The 19,032-nt window shown below is 42.0% G+C and overlaps 1 protein-coding gene across 1 annotated transcript in view, besides 1 other annotated feature; it reads left to right on the top strand.

Moving 5' to 3' along the window:
* DIP2B (disco interacting protein 2 homolog B) overlaps window positions 1–19,032 on the top strand; it is a 243,673-nt gene that overhangs the window by 195,568 nt on the left and 29,073 nt on the right. The window contains exons 20-25 of the mRNA NM_173602.3: window positions 3,588–3,668; window positions 5,986–6,113; window positions 7,896–8,010; window positions 13,843–14,044; window positions 18,157–18,266; window positions 18,403–18,483. Of these exons, the coding sequence (NP_775873.2) occupies window positions 3,588–3,668; window positions 5,986–6,113; window positions 7,896–8,010; window positions 13,843–14,044; window positions 18,157–18,266; window positions 18,403–18,483 (717 nt within the window). The remainder of the gene's footprint in view (window positions 1–3,587; window positions 3,669–5,985; window positions 6,114–7,895; window positions 8,011–13,842; window positions 14,045–18,156; window positions 18,267–18,402; window positions 18,484–19,032) is intronic.
* Window positions 17,410–17,600: a silencer, noted in NCBI's record as "fragment chr12:51111745-51111935 (GRCh37/hg19 assembly coordinates)". NCBI's record gives its function as "represses an EF-1alpha promoter that drives an FKBP-Casp9 reporter gene in an ReSE screen in K562 erythroleukemia cells {active_cell/tissue: K562}" and the evidence as "EXISTENCE:reporter gene assay evidence [ECO:0000049][PMID:32094911]".

A 19,032-nucleotide genomic window follows, 5' to 3' on the forward strand; every position in this document is an offset into this window, starting at 1 on the left:
AGTATCATCTCTGTGATACCATATCTATGCTCTCCATGATGTGGTACCTGAAAAGGGCTAAGAGCTCCTGGGCTGAACCTTATCTTTGTGTTTACCCAACCTAAAATGGCTTATATCACTTACTAAATGTCTTTCTCATAACTATTACTACTGTGCTCTTGCCCAGCCTTCAAAAGCTGTGTGCAATTCACCATGCCAGGAGTGGGCATTCATAAGCTCTTCAAGCATGTGTTTACTGCCAGTCTCTTGGTTTACTTTCCTAGGTGATTGATTTACCTCCCTTGAGTGTATATACATTTAACTAATTTAAATCTCACCCTATTTATTTCTGTCACCCAGGCTGGAATACGGTGGCTCAATCATAGCTCACTGCAGCCTTCAACTCCTGGCCTCAGGTGATCCTCTCATCTTGGCCTCCCAAAGTGCAAAGATTACAGGCATGAGCCGTTGCGCCTGTAATTTTTCTTCATTGACTTTTCCTTACTAAAAACAAGAGCCTCAAGCAGTGTTTGAAGATACTGATATTTTATTTCATTACCTTTCCAATGAGGCAGTTCACTAGCCAGAATTCTCAGACTTAATACCAAACTGCTAGGTCCATAGTGTTGAAGAAAATTTAAAATCTGCATTATAAATTTAGTGATAGTGAAGTAGAATAAAAATTGTACCAGAAAAGGACAAAGCTAGTATCTGGGTTTTCCAAATTAAAGTTCCCAGTATTTTTCTTACTGGCTTCTTAAATTTAAATCCTGAGAGAGTTTACCAATGTAGTTAACATTTCACTGGAGAAAAGATCTAGGTTTTAAATTTGTTTTGTGGTTTGTTTTTTTGTTGTTGTTGTTGTTTTTTAGGTGGGGTCTTGCTCTGTCGCCCAGGCGGAGTGCAGTGGTGCAATCTCGGCTCACTGCAACCTCTGCCTCCCGGGTTCAAACAATTCTCCTGCCTTAGCCTCCCAAGTAGCTGGGATTACAGGTGCCTGCCACCACGCCTGGCTAGTTTTTTTGTATTTTTAGTAGAGATGGGGTTTCACCGTGTTGGCCAGGCTGGTCTTGAACTCCTGACCTCAGGTGATCCACCCTCCTCGGCGTCCCAAAGTGCTGGGATTACAGGCATGAGCCACCACACCAGGCCAAGATCTAGTATTGACTAGTCAGAAAATAAAAATATTTTATAGATAATGCTACCAGGGAGAAAAACTTTTGTGACATGTATGACAACAGTTGATTTTCCATCACTCCCATGTGCTAGCTATTTGAGGCAAGTGAAACTCACTTCATCTGTAAAATGGAAATACTAATGCTGTTTCTATAGGATTAATTTGAGGATTAACTGTAAAGCAAGTAAACCTGTTCCTGGTACTGATAAGCATTTAGTGTTGTTATAATTATTATTTTATATAAAAAATAAATTTTAAGAATTATACAGATGAGGCTGGGAGCAGTTGCTCATGCCTGTGATCCTCGCACTTTGAGAGGCTGAGGTGGGTGGATCACCTGAGGTCAAGAGTTCAAGACCAGCTGGGCACGATGGCTCACACCTGTAATCCCAGCACTTTGGGAGGCCGAGGCGGGCGGATCACGAGGTCAGGAGATCGAGACCATCCTGTGAATGGTGAAGCCCCGTCTCTACTAAAAATACAAAAAATTAGCCAGGCATGGTGGCGGGCGCCTGTAGTCCCAGCTACTCGGGAGGCTGACACAGGAGAACGGCTTGAACCCGGGAGGTGAAACTTGCAGTGAGCCAAGATTGTGCCACTGCACTCCAGCCTGGGCGACAGAGCGAGACTCTGTCTCAAAAAAAAAAGAGTTCAAGACCAGCCTGGCCAACATGGTGAAACCTTGTGTACTGAAAATACAAAACTTAGCCGGGTGTGGTGGCAGGTGCCTGTAATCCCAGCTACTCAGGAGGCTGAGGCAGGAGAATCTCTGGAACCCGGGAGGCGGAGGTTGCAGTGAGTCGAGATTGTGCCATTGCACTCCAGCCTGAGCAACAGAGCAAAAAACTCTGTCTTAAAAAAAAAATTATCCGGGTGCTGTGGTTCACACCTGTAGTCCCAGCTATTCTGGAGTGTGACACGGGGGATCACATGGGCCGAGGAGTTCAAGGCTGTACTGAACCATTATTACGCCTGTGACTAGCCACTGCATTCCAGCCTGGGCAACATAGTGAGACCTCATCTCTTAAAAAAAAAAAAAAAAAAAAAAAAGGAGGGGTGGGGAGCAGCTATCAGGTAGAAAAAATAGGTAAGAGACATGAATAGGCTACTCACAAAAGAAATACAAATGCTCGGCAAACGAAGGAAAAGAAATTCAGACATATTACTTATAAAATGCAATTAAAGCAATAATGGGATTAATGTCTACTGTCTTGAATTTAAAAAAATTTTTTTAAGTCTGAGTATGGTGGCTCACTCCTGTAATCCCAACACTTTGGGAAGCCAAGGCAGGAGAATTGTTTGAGGTTAGGAGTTCAATACCTCTGGACAATGTAGCGAGACCCATCTCTACAAACGAATTAAAAATTAGCTAGGCGTGGTAACCCGCACCTGTACTCCCAGATCCTTGGGAGGCTGAGGTGGGAGGATTGTTTGAGCCTAGGATTTTGAGGCTGCAGTGAATTATGATTGCACCATTGCACTCCAGCCTGGGCAACAAAGTGAGACTATATCTCATTTTAAAAAAAAAAAAAGATTTTTTTTTTAATAAATTAACAATAGGATATATTTTTCGGTACCAGATTGGCAAAGTTTGGAAAAATGGATAGCACATAGTACTAGCCAGGACATGGGAAGAACCAGACATTCTAGTATGATATTAATGAGTGTAAATGGATACGACAGTTTTATAGGCCAGCCAATTAAAATTGAAAAGACTCGTGCCTTTTGTACAGATGCATAAATGAATACAGCAATATTCATTAAAGCACCTTTATAATAGTGAAAAATTATAATGGCCTATCCAGCTGTAATAAAAGACTGGTTACATTCTAATAGCTACAATTTCCTGAATACTGATTCTGGGTCAGATACCGTACTTGTTTCTGCAAATCTTTTTGCATTCCTTAATCTTTACTCCAAGCCTGTGAGAGGCACAGAGTACTCCATTAAGTGGCTGCAAAACAGGGCTCAGAAAAATCCAGGCACTTGCCTAAAGTCTATGTTACTAGTAAGTGGCAGAGCCAGAAATTGAATTGACACCAACGACTATGCTGTCCTGTCCCCCATGGAGTGGCTGAGTGGGCTAAGTCAACTCTTACTAACTTGGAAGGGTATCTGAGATATATTTCGTGGAAAAGCAAGTTGCAAAAAGTATAATATCTGTTTGAAAAAAAAAAAAACTCAGCACATTTATTTATATATACATATTTTTTATATGTTTTATATATATATTTATATATGTATCTTCTTAAAAGTCTAGAGAGGTAAACAATAAATTGTAATTATTTCTTATCTCTAAAGGGATGGAATTACTGGATTCACTATTACATTATTTTTTCACTGAGCATGTATTTTAATAAAACTTTTTAAAAATCACATATACTTTCTAAGAAAAAGCAAAGTTTTTCACTTACTTCATTTTGTCTCTTAGGTAATTCCAGTGAATTCTGCAGGCTCTCCTGTTGGGGATGTGCCATTCATCCGATCAGGATTGCTGGGGTTTGTAGGGCCGGTAAGTGATGCTTTCATGTTGATTTTGTTACATTTGATCCAAATATTTGGACTTTAATTCACAGAACAGAACAAATTCTGATTAGTCCAAGAGTGTTACAGAACCACTTCACTTATATTTAAAGCAGTTCTTGTAAGGATGTCATAAAATGAGTTAGTGTTTATCATTTCCACTACCCAAGTTCATTTGACTCCTTCAAACTAAGACATTTTTTATTTTCTTTTTTTCCCCGCTGAGATCAGAAGACATGATGAGACTTTTTTTATTTTAAGAACTCTTTTCACTTATTCTCACTATCTCGCTCTGATTTGATTAACATGTTGCAATAAGTTAGAAGAGTGCTGGAAAAAGTTATCTTCAGTAGCAAAGACAAACTATAATACATAGTATACAGAGCATTTTCATGTAAATGATTGGCACTATGTGATGTGTAATAGTGATCCTTTGAGTGAAAACAGTTTGGGCCGGGTGTGGTGGCTCATGCCTGTAATCCCAGCACTTTGGGAGGCCGAGGTGGGCGGATCACCTGAGGTCAGGAGTTCGAGACCAGCCTGGCCAACATGGCAAATTCTGTGTCTACTAAAAATACAAAAATTAGCTGGGTGTGGTAGCATGTACCTGTAATTCCAGCTACTTGGGAGGCTGAGGCAGGAGAATCGCTTAAACCCAGGAGGTGGAGATCACGCCACTATGCTCCAGCCTGGGCAACAGAGCGAGACTTCATTTCAAAAAACAAACAAAAAAAAAACAAAAAAGTTTGTTATTCAGAACACAGTATTTATAGGTACAAGATTAGAGACAATCAGGACATTAAAAGCCTGTTCTCAAAGAGCTCACAGTGAACTTGATGAGCCAGAGGATGGCAGAGATCTAGGTCATGGAGGGGCTTTGCATGACATCATGGGAAGTAGGATTTTATTTTGTAAGTAATAGTCATTATTCCTAGCTAAGCCCATATTACTCCATTCATCTCTAATTACCTCCTACCCTGTCTTCTTTTCCACTTAACATCTTCAGTCATATAAGAGATCTAATTTTATTTTATTTCTTCCTTGCCATTTAATGGAGGGGCAGGGTGGGTGAGGACATAGATCTAGGAGAATCAACTCTCTACACCTTTGTCTTGACTTTTTCACTTAGCACCAGGAAATTCTCAAAGACCCACCTCCTTTTAGCTTACAGTTCCATGATTGATGTCCAAAATGGAGCTCCAAGCCTTTCATCTGTATTCCAAGAAACAGGGAAAGGTGCAGTCCTCCTCTTTAAAGGAAGATTCCTTGAAGCTGCTGTGCAACACTTTCACTTATTGGTCTGAACTAGTCCTGCAGCCACACCTAGCTTCAAGGGAGACTGGAATGCAATCTTTATTTTGGTCAGCCATGCCCAGCTAAAAATTATCCTACTGTGAACGAAATGGAGAAATGGACATTGAAGGAATGACAGTGACTGTCTCATTCTCTTACCAACACTGTGGCTTTTCAGCCTTTGTTGGAAATGGCTGCTTTTTTCCTGACATATGGGTTGAACCAGTAGCTTGTTGAGGATATGGGTTATGTCTTACATGGCCCAGTCACTGTGTAGGGCACTACATTGTGCTTAGTAAATCAGTGAGTGACATTCACGTGGAAATAACTGCTAGGTAGGTGAATGTATGTAAATGGACTAAGAAATTTAGAAATTCTGTAATGAATGAGAAAAGTTAATTTGCTGCAAATGAGTCTGGGAAGATTATTTATACAGTGATGCTTTTGGGGATTTCATAGTAGTTCCCTGCTGCTTTGTTTTCTTATTGGAAAAGAAAGGCACCTACAGCATTCCTTAGACCTTTCTTTATTAGCCTATTTCTAATACTGCCGGATGGAAACAGCATTACCCTTACCAACCTGAGACGGTCATTCTCCTATTTATACTGTTTTAATCTCCTCCTAATTCCAACAGTAAATGAATACATTTTTCTTCCTCTGTATCCTCTGAATAGAAACATAAGCAAACTAACACATAAATCATGGCTGGGAAAATCAGCTATGCTTGGGTGGAATCCTAGTTGCTTTCTTAATGAAGTTCCTCCCTAAAATAAATATGAGTAAATTCCCTTCTTAGGTATCCTGTGAGACTTCATTGGCTGTAAGATGCCACTCTTTTCCCAGCTGATTTCAGAGATGTCAAGATGTGAAATGCTTTCTCTAGAATCCGTAAAATATGGCAGTTGTGTTTTTAATACTTTTTAAATGAGATTTATTTAAAGGCAGGAAGTTAAAAGATGTCTGTTTTACTATTTAAATCATGGAAATCAAGGTAAATCATCATTACCTTTCAGGGTAGTTTGGTGTTCGTGGTTGGGAAAATGGATGGCTTACTGATGGTTAGTGGTCGAAGACATAATGCTGATGACATTGTTGCTACTGGATTGGCTGTAGAATCAATAAAGACTGTTTATAGAGGAAGGTGAGTAGTACAAAATTCAAATGTTAGCACCTTTTAATGGAATCTAAATACATCTTCACATGGTGATTTCAGTGGTATTTTGTAGGTTCTCTTTCCAAGTGATCAGATTGTTTTTGTTAAGCATTGCATAAGCCTGGCTTTTTTTTTTCTTCTTCTTCTTCTTAGCCTGGCTTTTAATATATATTTTACAACATCTGGTGCTTCAGCTGTAACTAAGAGGATTAAGATGCAACTATATCCTTTACTTCAGATTTAACTTCAGATTTGTTGAATCCTGAGGACTGAGGAGAATTCTAAAACATTAACTTCCTGCATTTCTTCAATGCAAAAGTAGTGCCATTCAGACTAACTGATATAGATGCTACTCTGTAGGCATTTACATCTAAGAATTGTTTCTCTTGTTTCTAATTAAATTATACCGTTTTAATGTGGGGATTGACATAGTGCATAATTTCAAATTCCATGGACAAAGTCAATTAGATATCTTTTTTCTTTGCTTATTAATGTAAGAAAAGATATTTGCTACATATTTGAGTAGTTGATGTCCTGTTCAGCAATTTGCAATCGTAGATGTGTCTCTTTAAGGCAAACTTAGTGTCCCTTTAGTTTAAGAAGTACAAAAAATTAGTGAAACAGTTTCTGAAATGTATAGTTTTTTTTGTAGTGGTGTGGCTTCCTATGAGATGTAAAGTCCATGGGGCACTAGATCTGCCTTTGGTCACAGTCATATCCCAGCAATCAGTAGTGCCGGACACCTGGTAGGTGTTGGGTGAATGTATGTGGAAGGAAGGAAGGAGGGTGTCAGGCAGACATGCCGGCAGACTCTGCTCTCCGGTGCCTTCCCATTCTTTCATGCATTCATTCAACAAATATTCATTGGGTGCCAACACTGTGCCGCTGTCCTGGAGGCTTCGGCTGTGGCAGTGAACAAAACAGGCCAAGTCTCTGCCCTTGTGAAGCTCACATGCTTGTTGTGGGAGACAGACAGGAACCACATAAACAGGGCAATAGATAACATGTGAGACAGTGACAAGTGCTATGGAGAAAAACACATGGGGGTGGGGGTGGCCTGCCAGTTTCTATGAGGTGTCCTGGGAGTGCCTCGCTAGTAAGGGGACATTTGAGCGGAGACCTCCCTCAGAACCAACTTCATCCTCCCTCCCATGGCCTCTCAGGTCCACTGGGATCTGCCCTGGCCTGGGTCTGACCTCTCTCCCTCCCGGTCTCTGCTTCACCACTTTGCTCCAGGCACACTGGCCTTCTTGCTGTTCCTCAAACCTGCCAAGCTCGTCCCTACCTCAGAACCTTTTCGCTTTCCGTTCCTTCTGCCCGGAAACCTCTTCCTCCAGATCTTCGCGTGGCTCGCGTCCTCACCTCATTCAGGTCTCTGCTCCAATGTCCGCTCCTCAGGGAGGCGCCCCCCGAGCCACCCTGCCCTCAGTAATACGCCACCCTACACACCACTCCACCCCCTGTATATTGCAACATGGCATTATTCTGTATTTATTTGTTTGTTCTGTCTCTAACATATAAGTGCCACAAAGACAAGAACTTTGTCTTATTTACCACTATGTCCCCAACATTCATGACAGTTGTGCTTAATACATATTATTTAAATGAATGAATGCTCATTTTGAGAGTAATGATTATGACATTTTCTTTTCTAAGCTACTCGTTTTGGGTAGCATGGTGGGGTTGTCTCCTCTCTGTAATTCCAGTTAAACAAAACAAATAGGACTGGTTGTGAAGGGAGTCCTGATGTGTTTGATCTGTCTCTCTTAGAATTGCTGTGTTTTCTGTGTCTGTATTTTATGATGAGCGCATTGTGGTGGTTGCGGAACAAAGACCTGATGCTTCTGAGGAAGATAGTTTCCAGTGGATGAGCCGCGTGCTGCAGGTGAGCACACTTTGGGGTCTGTGTCAGGTCAGCGGTGGCAGCAACCACTGCCTAAGCATTTCATTTTCTTCGATCAGCCAGTAATGCCACCTTACTTCTTGCCAATCATTGCTCACATACTCTGGGTACTACTAGCAAAATCAGATAATTAATACCATTTCTCCTTGTGGACCACATGGTATTTTTCTGCTCAGGTTGCCAAAAATAATGGAATTGACTTGCCTCAGCAAATTCTTTCATGCCTGAGTGTTTACTACTTGTGAAAGTTTTAACTGTCATATGTGGAACACATCTCTGGCAGTAATCAATCCACTTGTCAACAGTCAGTCACAGTTTTACTGTGTGTCATAAGTGGTGCCGATGGTGTGAGGGATCCAAGAAAATACAGCTATTAGCTTTACTCTGAAGGAGCTTTCCTATGGGGCTAGAGATGCTAGGTGAGATAAACCATGAGGGAAGGAGAATGCTTTGGGCACAGTCTAAGCAATATGTCTGTGGTGGGGAGCAGGCTAGAGTGATGACAAGAGCCTAGTCTTCACTTAGAATCATAGACTTGGAATCCCAGCTCCACTTCTTACCAGATATGTGCCCTTGGGCAAGTCATTTAACCTCACTGAGTTTATTTCCTAACCTGCAAAGTAGGATAAAATTATCTGTTTTATAGAGCTGTTGGAAGGATTAAATGAGGTAATTAATTGAAGTATATAGTACCTGCACTCAGTAAATAATGATGGTGATTGTTATTATCCATCTTTACCAAAAGTTTTTTTCTAAATTATCCAGGCATAGGCCAGGCGCAGTGGCTCACGCCTGTAATCCCAGCACTTTGGGAGGCCGAGATGGGCGGATCACGAGGTCAGGAGATCGAGACCATCCTGGCTAACACGGTGAAACCCCGTCTCTACTAAAAATACAAAAAAAAAAAATTAACTGGGCGTGGTGGCAGGCATCTGTAGTCCCAGCTACTCGGGAGGCTGAGGCAGGAGAATGGCTTGAACCCAGGAGGCGGAGCTTGCAGTGAGCCGAGATCGCGCCACTGCACTCCAGCCTGGGGGACAGAGCAAGACTCTGTCTCAAAAAAAAAAAAAAATTATCCAGGCATAGTTGTGTGCACCTGTGATCCCAGCTACTTGGAAGGCTGAGGTGGGAGGATCACTTGACCCAGTAGGTCAGCACTGCAGTGAGCTATGATCATGCCACTACAGTTCAGCCTGGGTGACAGAGGAAGACCCTGGCTCAAAATAATAATAATAATGATAGTAATAATGAGCCAGGTGCTGTGACAGGCACCAGTAGCCCCAGCTACTCAGAAAGCTGAGGTAGGAGGATCGCTTGAGCCAGTGCTGTAGTGCACTATGGTCGCACCTGTGAATAGCTACTGCACTCCAACCTGCGCAACATAGCAAAAACCCATCTCTCAAAAAATAAAAGATTGTAAGAATAGTCTCCAATTAGAGAGGACCACTTCCTCTCAATTAATATTCCCTTTCATTCTCTGTCCCTTCATTCTTCTTTATTTTTCTACTTAGCACTTAACATCTTGTATATTTATTGTTTTCTACATCCACTGTAATATAAGGCAAGGCCAAGACTTTTTTGTCTCTTTTGTTCAGGGCTCGATCCCCAGAGCCCGGTAGCTATGCTAGCGAACGTCATAGTAGGCTCAGTAAATATTTGTTGGCTAAGTGGATGGTCCAAAGAAAGTGTGGCCTGTCCTTGCTGTACTTAGGTATCAGTGGAAGTCTTCCCAAGATCTGTAACTTCTCTACTTGGGGAATTTGAATTTATTAACTGCTAGTTAATAGCAGTGTTGTAGAAACAATGCAAGCATGAGATGGTGGTATTGCTAGATGACTGTTTTGTTTTGTTTTTTTTTTTGAGATGGAGTTTCTCTCCTGTTGCCCAGGGTAGAGTGCAATGGCACGATCTTGACTCACTGCAACCTCCGCCTCCTGGGTTCAAGCGATTCTCCTGTCTCAGACTCCCAAGTAGCTGGAATTACAGGCACCTGCCACCATGCCCAGCTAATTTTTTGTATTTTTAGTAGAGACAGATTTTCGCCATGTTGGCCAGGCTGGTCTCGAACTCCTGACCTCAGGTGATCCACCCACCTCGGCCTCCCAGAGTGCTGGGATTATAGATGTGAGCCACGTCACCTGGCTGCTAGATGACTTTTAATATTTCTTTCTATCCTCAGGGTCTGTAATTCTGAATTATCAGCTGATACTGTGTAGGCTATTTGTAGTAGAAAATCAGAAAAGAAAATATATTGAAGATAGACTAGTCAGGAAAGACTATGAAGAAGGTAGAACGGGGCAGATCTCTGAAAGATGGCTAAGGGGCAGACGTGCAAAGAGAATATTTTTCATACCAATCATATTTTCAGTCAGAAACCTTATTTTGTTCAGAATGAACTTTGGGGCATGTAATGGTAGAAGCTTTGGTGAATTACGTATTTTCTTCTATTATAGAAAAGTGAGTATACCTGACATCTCCCAAGATATTTGCTACTTTTCCCTGGAAAGCAACTATAGGAATTAAATACAGTGCCAATTTACTAATCCAAACTCTTGTGAAAGTCACTTGGGTTCCAATTTGGGCATGAGATAACAGGCCATTCTTTTCGCAGTCTTTGTAACTTACCAGCTCGGAGCATTCGAGTCCATAGCAGAACAGTAAATGACGCCATGTATTCTAATAGATTAAAGGCCAGAGGTTGTTGAATTCCAGGTCCGTGTATAACATAAACTAAATACCTAACTCAGCACTTTCTAAGGAAAGGCAGTTAGTAGATGACTTATCAGATGCGTTTTTAATGAGGAATTCAGGCTACATGTAGCACATTTGCTAACTTTCTGTGTATTCTAAAAAAAACACAGAAACTTAGGAACTCTGCCAGACTTTCCATTTCCCAGTCATCTGTATTGGTTGGTAGGATAGTCTGAGGATTGTGATTTTCAAGTTTATTCTTTTGCCCTTTTAAATTTTTGTTTGTTTGTTTGTTTGTTTTGTTTTTGAGATAGAGTTTCACTCTTGTCTCCCAGGCTGGAGTACAGTGGCACGATCTCGGCTCACTGCAACCTCCACCTCCCGGTTTCAAGCAATTCTCCTGCCTCAGCCTTCCAAGTAGCTGGGATTACGGGCACTCGCCACCACACCCAGCTAATTTTTGTATTTTTACTAGACGGGGTTTCACCACGCTGGCCAGGCTGGTCTCAAACTCCTGACCTCAGGAGATCCACCCACCTTGGCCTCCCAAAGTGCTGGGATTACAGGCGTGAGTCACTGCACCTGGCTCCTTAAATTGTTTTAATAAAAGGCCTTGGCCACGCATGGTGGCTCATGCTTCTAGTCCCAACAATTTGGGAAGCTGAAGCTGAGGGTCACTTGAGTTCAAGACCAGCCTGGGACAACAGAGCAAGACCCTTTGCTCTACAAAGAATAAACAAATGAATAAATAAATTAGCTAGACGCCACTGCCTGTGGTCCCACTTACTTGAGAGGCTGGGGTGGGAGGATCACTTGAGCCCAGCAATTTGAGGTTATAGTGAGCTGTGGTCATACCATTGCACTCCAGCCTGGGTGTCAGAGCAAGACCCTGTCATTCATACATACATACATACAGCCTTGTCCTTTTTTTATGTTTGACCTTTATAACTGTGGGTTCATTCTACTTCTAAGATTGTATCTCTTGTTCAATAAGACCTATGGGTAATACGGTAGAAACCTCCTAACTAGTATTAACAGTTGGTCAGTTTTAGCCAGGCATGATGGCTCATGTCTGTAATCCCAGCACTTTGGGAGGCCGAGGCAGGCAGATCACTTGAGATCAGGAGTTCAAGACCAGCCTGGCCAACGTGGTAAAACCCTGTCTCTACTAAAAATACAAAAATTAGCCAGATGTGGTGGCACACACCTGTAATCCCAGCTACTTGGGAGGCTGAGGCAGGAAAATTGCTTGAACCCGGGAGGTGGAGGTTGTGGTGACCCGAGATTGCGCCACTGCACTTCAGCCTGGGAGAAAAAGCGAGACTCCATCTTAAAAAAACAAACAAACGAAAAAGGGCTGGGCACGGTGGCTCACACCTGTAATCCCAGCACTTTGGGAGGCCGAGGCAGGTGGATCACGAGGTCAGGAGTTCGAGACCAGCCTAGCCAACATAGTGAAACCCCGTCTCTAATAAAAATACAAAAAATTAGCCGGGCTTGGTGGCGGGCACCTGTAATCTCAGCTACTCCGGAGACTGAGGCAGGAGAATTGCTTGAACCCAGGAGGCGGAGGTTGCAGTGAGCTGAGATCACGCCATCGGACTCCAGCTTGGGTGACAATGCAAGACTCTGTCTCAAAAAAATAAAATAAAGTTGATTGGTTCCATAAAAATGAGAAATTCTTCAAGTATTAAATTTTAATAGAAAATATCTAAGTATGTATTCCTTTGATGTAGAGAAGTGTGATTACGAATATACCAACCTGAAGTCCAGGTCGGCTTACTTCTATAAACTATATCAAAATACATTGTCTTCAGTTTCTGGTTTTTCTTTTTAAATTTTTTTAAAAATTAAAATATAGAGATGGGGTTTTGCCATGTTGCCCAGGCTATTCTCAAATTCCTGAACTCAAACTGTCTTCTCACCTTGGCCTCCCAAAGTGCTGAGATTACAGACTTGAGTCACCATACCCGGCCTGGTTTTATTTTCTGTAAGTTAGCACCAGAATGTGGGTATTTGAAAAATGACTTGAATGGGTATCTTCACTTTTAGGATTAACTTGCCTGACCTATGAACAGAAGTTTTTTAGGAGCTAACTTTTAGTGTGTCTTTCCAAAGCATAACTCCTTCTGTGTTTTTGCATTTGTATTTTGTCAGTTAACATAATATTTAATTACATTATGTGAAAACAACAAGAACAGCTGTCAAACAGTGTAGGAACACAGCTGACTTTAAGCAAACATGCAGTTACATGGCTGCGAGCACAGGTACGCTCAGGGTAGCTTGTGGCCTCCAATGCTCGGTGTGCTATGGGCCTCACCCCAGATGTTTTTCAGAGGAGATGCATGGTAACATGGTGAATCACTTAAGTGGGGGCTCCTTTAGAGAGCTGCTGTTGTGTTCATAATAAAAATACCTTACTTCTGTTTAATTAGGCTTTGTTGGCTGATAGCTAAAAGATTAAAAGAACCAAAACAAATTTCTAGGTTTTTGACATTATCACTTAAGAGAGAACATATTGGCTGGGCATGGTATGACAGTAATCTCAGCACTTTGGGAGGCCAAGGTGGGAGCATCACTTGAGGCCATGAGTTCAAGACCAGCCTAGGCAGCACAGTGAGACCCCATCTCTCCAAAAACCTTAAAATTAAAAAAAAGAAAAGAAAAAAAATTATTTTAAATTAGCCAGACGCAGTGGTGCATCCCTGTAGTCCCAGCTTCTTGGGAGGTTGAGGCAGGAGGATCACTTGAGCTTAGGAATTTGGGGCTGTCATGGCTTGTGCCATTGCATTCCACCCCAGCTGACAGAATGAGACCCTGTCTCTAAAAAGAATAAAAACTTAAAAAGAGAACATACTGAGTTGCAAGTCAATATCCACCTTTGTCCATTTAGATTGTATCTTACCTCTCTTCTTTTAATCTCTGCCACAGCTGAAAGATGTGTATTATCTTAATGATTATCTTTAAATCTCTAGATATATGGAATCTTAGTGATCTGCCAGATTCTAGATCTAGAATGGGTAGAGTAAGAAAAATTGTAGCGTAAAATAATGGATTATACCAGGAATATGTCAAATGTAATAGAAGTGATCTCACTGAGTATTTTTGTTTGTATTTTTCTAGGCGATCGATAGCATTCATCAAGTGGGGGTTTATTGTCTTGCTCTGGTGCCAGCCAATACATTGCCAAAAACTCCACTAGGAGGAATCCATATATCTCAGACGAAACAACTCTTTCTGGAGGGATCACTGCATCCTTGCAACATCCTCATGTGCCCCCATACATGTGTGACAAACTTGCCAAAGCCCCGGCAAAAACAACCAGGTAATATGCTGGCTTCCAAGACCTGGCACTAAAATTCCAACTTCAAGAAGCTGGGTTCTCTCAGTGTGATTCTTTCTCTACAATTAGTTTACAAAGACTTTGGGAGGCCAAGGTGGGAGGGTCGTGTGAGCCCAGGAGCTCGAAAACAGCCTGGGCGACATGGTAAAATCCTGTCTCTACAAAAAAAAATGGAAAAAATTAGCCAGGCCCGGTGGTGCACACCTGTAGTCTCAGCTACTTCAGAGGCTGACAGAGGATGGCTTGAGCCTGGGAGGTTGCAGTAAACCGAGATTGCGCCATTGCACTCTAATCTGGGCGACAGAACCAGACCCTGTCTCAACAAAAAAGAAAGGGAAGATGGAAAAGGTGTGTTAAGGCAGCCCGGAGGCAAACATATCCTTGAGATGCTTTTGGAGCTATTGTAGAAAGAAAGAATGTGTTTGTTAGGACTAGTCTTGGCTGCAGGTTGCAGAAAAACATAAATTGCAGCTCAGGCAAGAAACAAGCATATTTTTGTCAGGTAAAAAAAGTTCAGAGCTAGGTAGTCCAAAGGCTAGGATAGTCACTCCTCAATCATGTTCTTCTAGCTTCCCATCTTTTTGCTCTGGTGTTTTGTCTGTCACCTCTTGTCATAGATACGCTACAGAACAAATAACCCTAAAACTCAGTGCCTTGAAGTAGCAAGCATTTACTTTTTACTCATGGAATGTGGATCTGCTTGGCTTGGCTGGGATCCACTGGACTTGACTTGGCTCCAGGCTTAGGTTGGGTTCAGAGCTGTTCCATGTGTCTCCTCATCATGGGACCAGCAGCTACCTGGGCCGTATTTTTTTCAAGGCAGATGGCAGAAGCAACAAAGCAAGCCAAGCCACATGAGCATATTTAAAGCTTCTGTTTGTGTCACATGTCCTAACATTTCATTGTCCTAAACAAGTGAGACCATGAAGTATACTTATCCCATCCAGCCATAACTAAGACAAGAAAGAAAGGAAGGATTGTGGGAAAATAAAATAATCGGCCACAGCCATCATTAGCAACTGCCCCAGGGCTCATTAGGCTCCCCAACCTCTACATCCCAGCCAGCAGGTAGGAGGAAAAGGTAAAGAAAGGATACTCTTCCCTTTAACATATTTTCTAGAAATTGCACATATTACTTCCTCTTACTTATTATCCTCCCACACTAAAGAATATAGTCTTTATTCCAGGCATGTGTCCAGCTAAAAACTGGGGGTTCTGTTATTAAGGAAGAAGAATAGGATACTGGAATTGATAACTAGCAGTTTTTGCCATAAGACGTTTACAGAATTTTATTGGAAAATCAGAAGGCATATTTACAGGTACAGCAGTGTCTGCAATTAGCTTCCTGGAGTTACTGCTTTCAGTATCTTTCATTCTCTGTGACCCACAGACCCATAGACTCACGAAATGCACACAGAAGAACATCCAGGAACTGCTGCTGAATTAGTTTTATTGTTTTAAACTACTGCAAAATTCACTTTTTAAAATATGCCTTTATTAATTTTATAATGTAAATCCCAGAATGCACAGTTTACATAAATACACTCTGAGTCCCTGCCTGTATTAAAAGGCTGTCTCCAACATGATATATCTATAATTTGTCATGAAGTTTCTTAGGGAGGAATATTGCATATTTACTTAAAATTGTAGTAGACACTTTGTAGACTAAAACTGTTCACCAATTGGAATACTTTATCTTTTTTGAGTTTTCTGTTTTATTTTTAAATTTTTTAAACTTTACATTTTGAAATAATTTCACACAAAAAAGTTGCCACATGTCGGGAGGCTGAGGCAGGAGAATGGCGTGAACCCGGGAGGCAGGAGAATGGCGTGAACCTGGGAGACGGAGCTTGCAGTGAGCCAAGATTGTGCCACTGCACTCCAGCCTGGGCGACTGAGCGAGACTCTGTCTCAAAAAACAAAACAAAACAAAACAAAACAAAAAGTTGCCACATGGTACAAAGATTTTCCTTACACCCTTTACCCAGCTTCCCCAAATATTTACCCTTTGAAAATTGATTATATGATTTAAGTGATTTTGTCTCATCTGTTTCAGTATATTCAGGATCAACAGATTTTGATAGAATAAAAGATTTTTAATATTAATCCAGTATAGCATCAGCCTATTTAAAACCTAGCTGGCAATAAGCTTTGTTTTATCATCTTTTTGCCATCTTCTTAGTTCCGTGAGGCGGATGACCATGAAGAGAGCAACCTAGCACTTTTTTCTAGAGAGGGAGTGGGCTCCCCCGTTTATTTTGAAGTGTCGAACCTATGGAAAAGTTAGACGAATAGTATAGTGAGGAACACCCATGTAGCCTATCCTAGATTTACGAATTGTTGCTTTTTTTTTTTTTTTTTTTTTTTGAGACAGAGTTTGCTCTGTTGCCCAGGCTGGAGTACAGTAGCGTGATCTGGCTCACTGCAACCTCTGCCACCCAGGATCCAACCACTTGAGTACCTGGGATTACAGGTGTGAGCTACTACGCCCAGCTAATTTTTGTATTTTTAGTAGAGATGGGGTTTTGCCATGTTGGCCAGGCTGGTGTCAAACTCCTGTCCTCAAATGATCTGCCCCCCTCTGCCTCCCAAACTGGTAGGATTACAGGAGCAAGCCACCACGCCTGGCCTTGCTGACATTTTTTTCCCTGAGTTTTTTGTTCGTTTGTTTTTGTTTTTTGAGACAGGGTCTTAACACTGTTGCCCAGGCTGGAGTGCGGTGGCATGATCTCAGCTCACTGCAGCTTTTTTTTTTTTTTTTTTTTTTTTGAGATGGAGTCTCGCACTGTCGCCCAGGCTGGAGTGCAGTGGCGCGATCTTGGCTCACTGCAAGCTTCGCCTCCTGGGTTGACGCCATTCTCCTGCCTCAGCCTCCCAAGCAGCTAGGACTACAGGCACCCGCCACCATACCCGGCTAATTTTTTTTGTATTTTTAGTAGAGACAGGGTTTCACCGCGTTAGCCGGGATGGTCTCGGTCTCCTGACCTTGTGATCCGCCCGCCTCGGCCTCCCAAAGTACTGGGATTATAGGCGTGAGCCACCACGCCTGGCCTGCAGCTTTGAACTCTGGCACAAATGATCCTCCCACCTCAGCCTCCCAAGTAGCCTGGACTAAAGATGTCTACCACCATACCAGGCTAATATTTTTGTATTTGTAGAGACAGGGTTTTGCCATGTTGCCCAGGCTGGTCACAAACTCCTCGGCTCAAGTGATCTGTCCGCCTCGGCCTCCTAAAGTGCTGTGATTACAGGCATGAGCCACCGTTCCTGGCCATTATTCACTTTTTTTTTTTTTTTTTTTTTTGAGATGTAGTCTCGCTCTGTCGCCATACTGGAGTGCAGTGGCACGATTTCGGCTCACTGCAACCTCCACCTCCTGGGTTCAAGCAATTCTCCTGCCTCAGCCTCCCGAGTAGCTGGGACTACAGGTGTGTACCACCACGCCCAGCTCATTTTTGTATTTTTAGTAGAGAAGGGATTTCACCATGTTGGCCAGGATGGTCTCCATCTCTTGACCTTGTGATCCTCCCGCCTCGCCCTCCCAAAGTGCTGGGATTACAGGCGTGAGCCACCATTCCCGGCCATTATTCACTTTTAATTGAACAAATTTAATATTCTAGATAAACTCCCTCAGGCCTTGTAGATGACAAATTTCTTTCCAGGCCAGATATTCTTTATTGTTAAGCCCTCTTTTAGGGTTCTATTATGATTGGAGAAGATTAAAATATTAGTAGGAACCTGTGCAACCAGCTATCACCTCCTCAGAGTGAAAAATTCCTGTATACCCCAAACTAGAATAGCTGCCTCCTTCCCTCCACCCCAATCCCTGTCCCTCCTGTTTTCTTGTTTGTTTGGTTTTTTTCCAGTACTTTGCACTATTTATGTTTATTTATTTGTGTATGTATTTCTTGGTTACCCTTCTTCAGAATGCAGGCTCTTTGCCCTATTTGCTCCTGGGTTCCCAGTGCCTAGAAGAGTGTTCAGGCAGTATTGTTGGATGAATATTTGAACCAGTTTTGGTCAGTCTGGAAATGCTCTGGATACTTAGTTGGAATCGCCATCTCCAGTGAGTTGGGTTTTGCATTTATTTACAGGTGTAGGCCCTGCTTCCGTGATGGTTGGGAATCTGGTTGCTGGAAAACGTATAGCACAAGCTGCTGGAAGGGATCTGGGACAAATAGAAGAGAATGATTTGGTGAGGAAGGTAAGTGTTCCTGAAGTGTTACCTTCTTACAGTCAAGTCAAGGACAGAACTTACTGCAGGTAGCAGCTGGGGGATGCATTATATGACTTGTTATAAGTTGCTGACCCTGAGTCCTTTTTCTGGTTTATGACTTCAGCACCAGTTTCTGGCAGAGATCCTACAGTGGCGAGCCCAGGCGACTCCTGACCATGTACTCTTCATGCTGTTAAATGCCAAGGTATTAAAAATTCAATGGTATATCTAATCAGCTGACTACTATAGGACCATCTTAGGCACTCTTGATCTCTTTCTTTCATCAGAAAATTTCTGTTGCCATCTCTGAAGAAGGAGTTAATGGCTTTCTCCTTGCTTTGGCATATGAGGGTAAACTGTGCAATCACTTTAAGATTGGACTGAGACCTCCTGGAGTGCTATGTAATACTTTCTTTTCTTATGGTACAATCACGTCTTCTTTATTCAGTTCTGATAGGAGAAATGGAGCCAACAATGCAATTACATAGATACACAGATGTTCACAATGTGTTATGTCATACAGTTTTTTTACCCAGTGGGACTTTTAATTATTTGATTTCTGCCAGGAAGAAAATGACCTTAGACCAGCATTTTAAAAACCCTAAGTTATTTCTGGTACATAGTTAAATGATTTATTGCTAACAGATAAAAAGCAAATTGAAAATTACTCAAAGAGCACATTTAACTACTGGTTTCTGATGGATGGTTCGTTATAATACTGTATTTTAGGACTGGGCACAGTGGCTCACACCTG

Source organism: Homo sapiens, chromosome 12, assembly GCF_000001405.40.
Source record: "Homo sapiens chromosome 12, GRCh38.p14 Primary Assembly".
Classification (NCBI taxonomy): domain Eukaryota; kingdom Metazoa; phylum Chordata; class Mammalia; order Primates; family Hominidae; genus Homo; species Homo sapiens.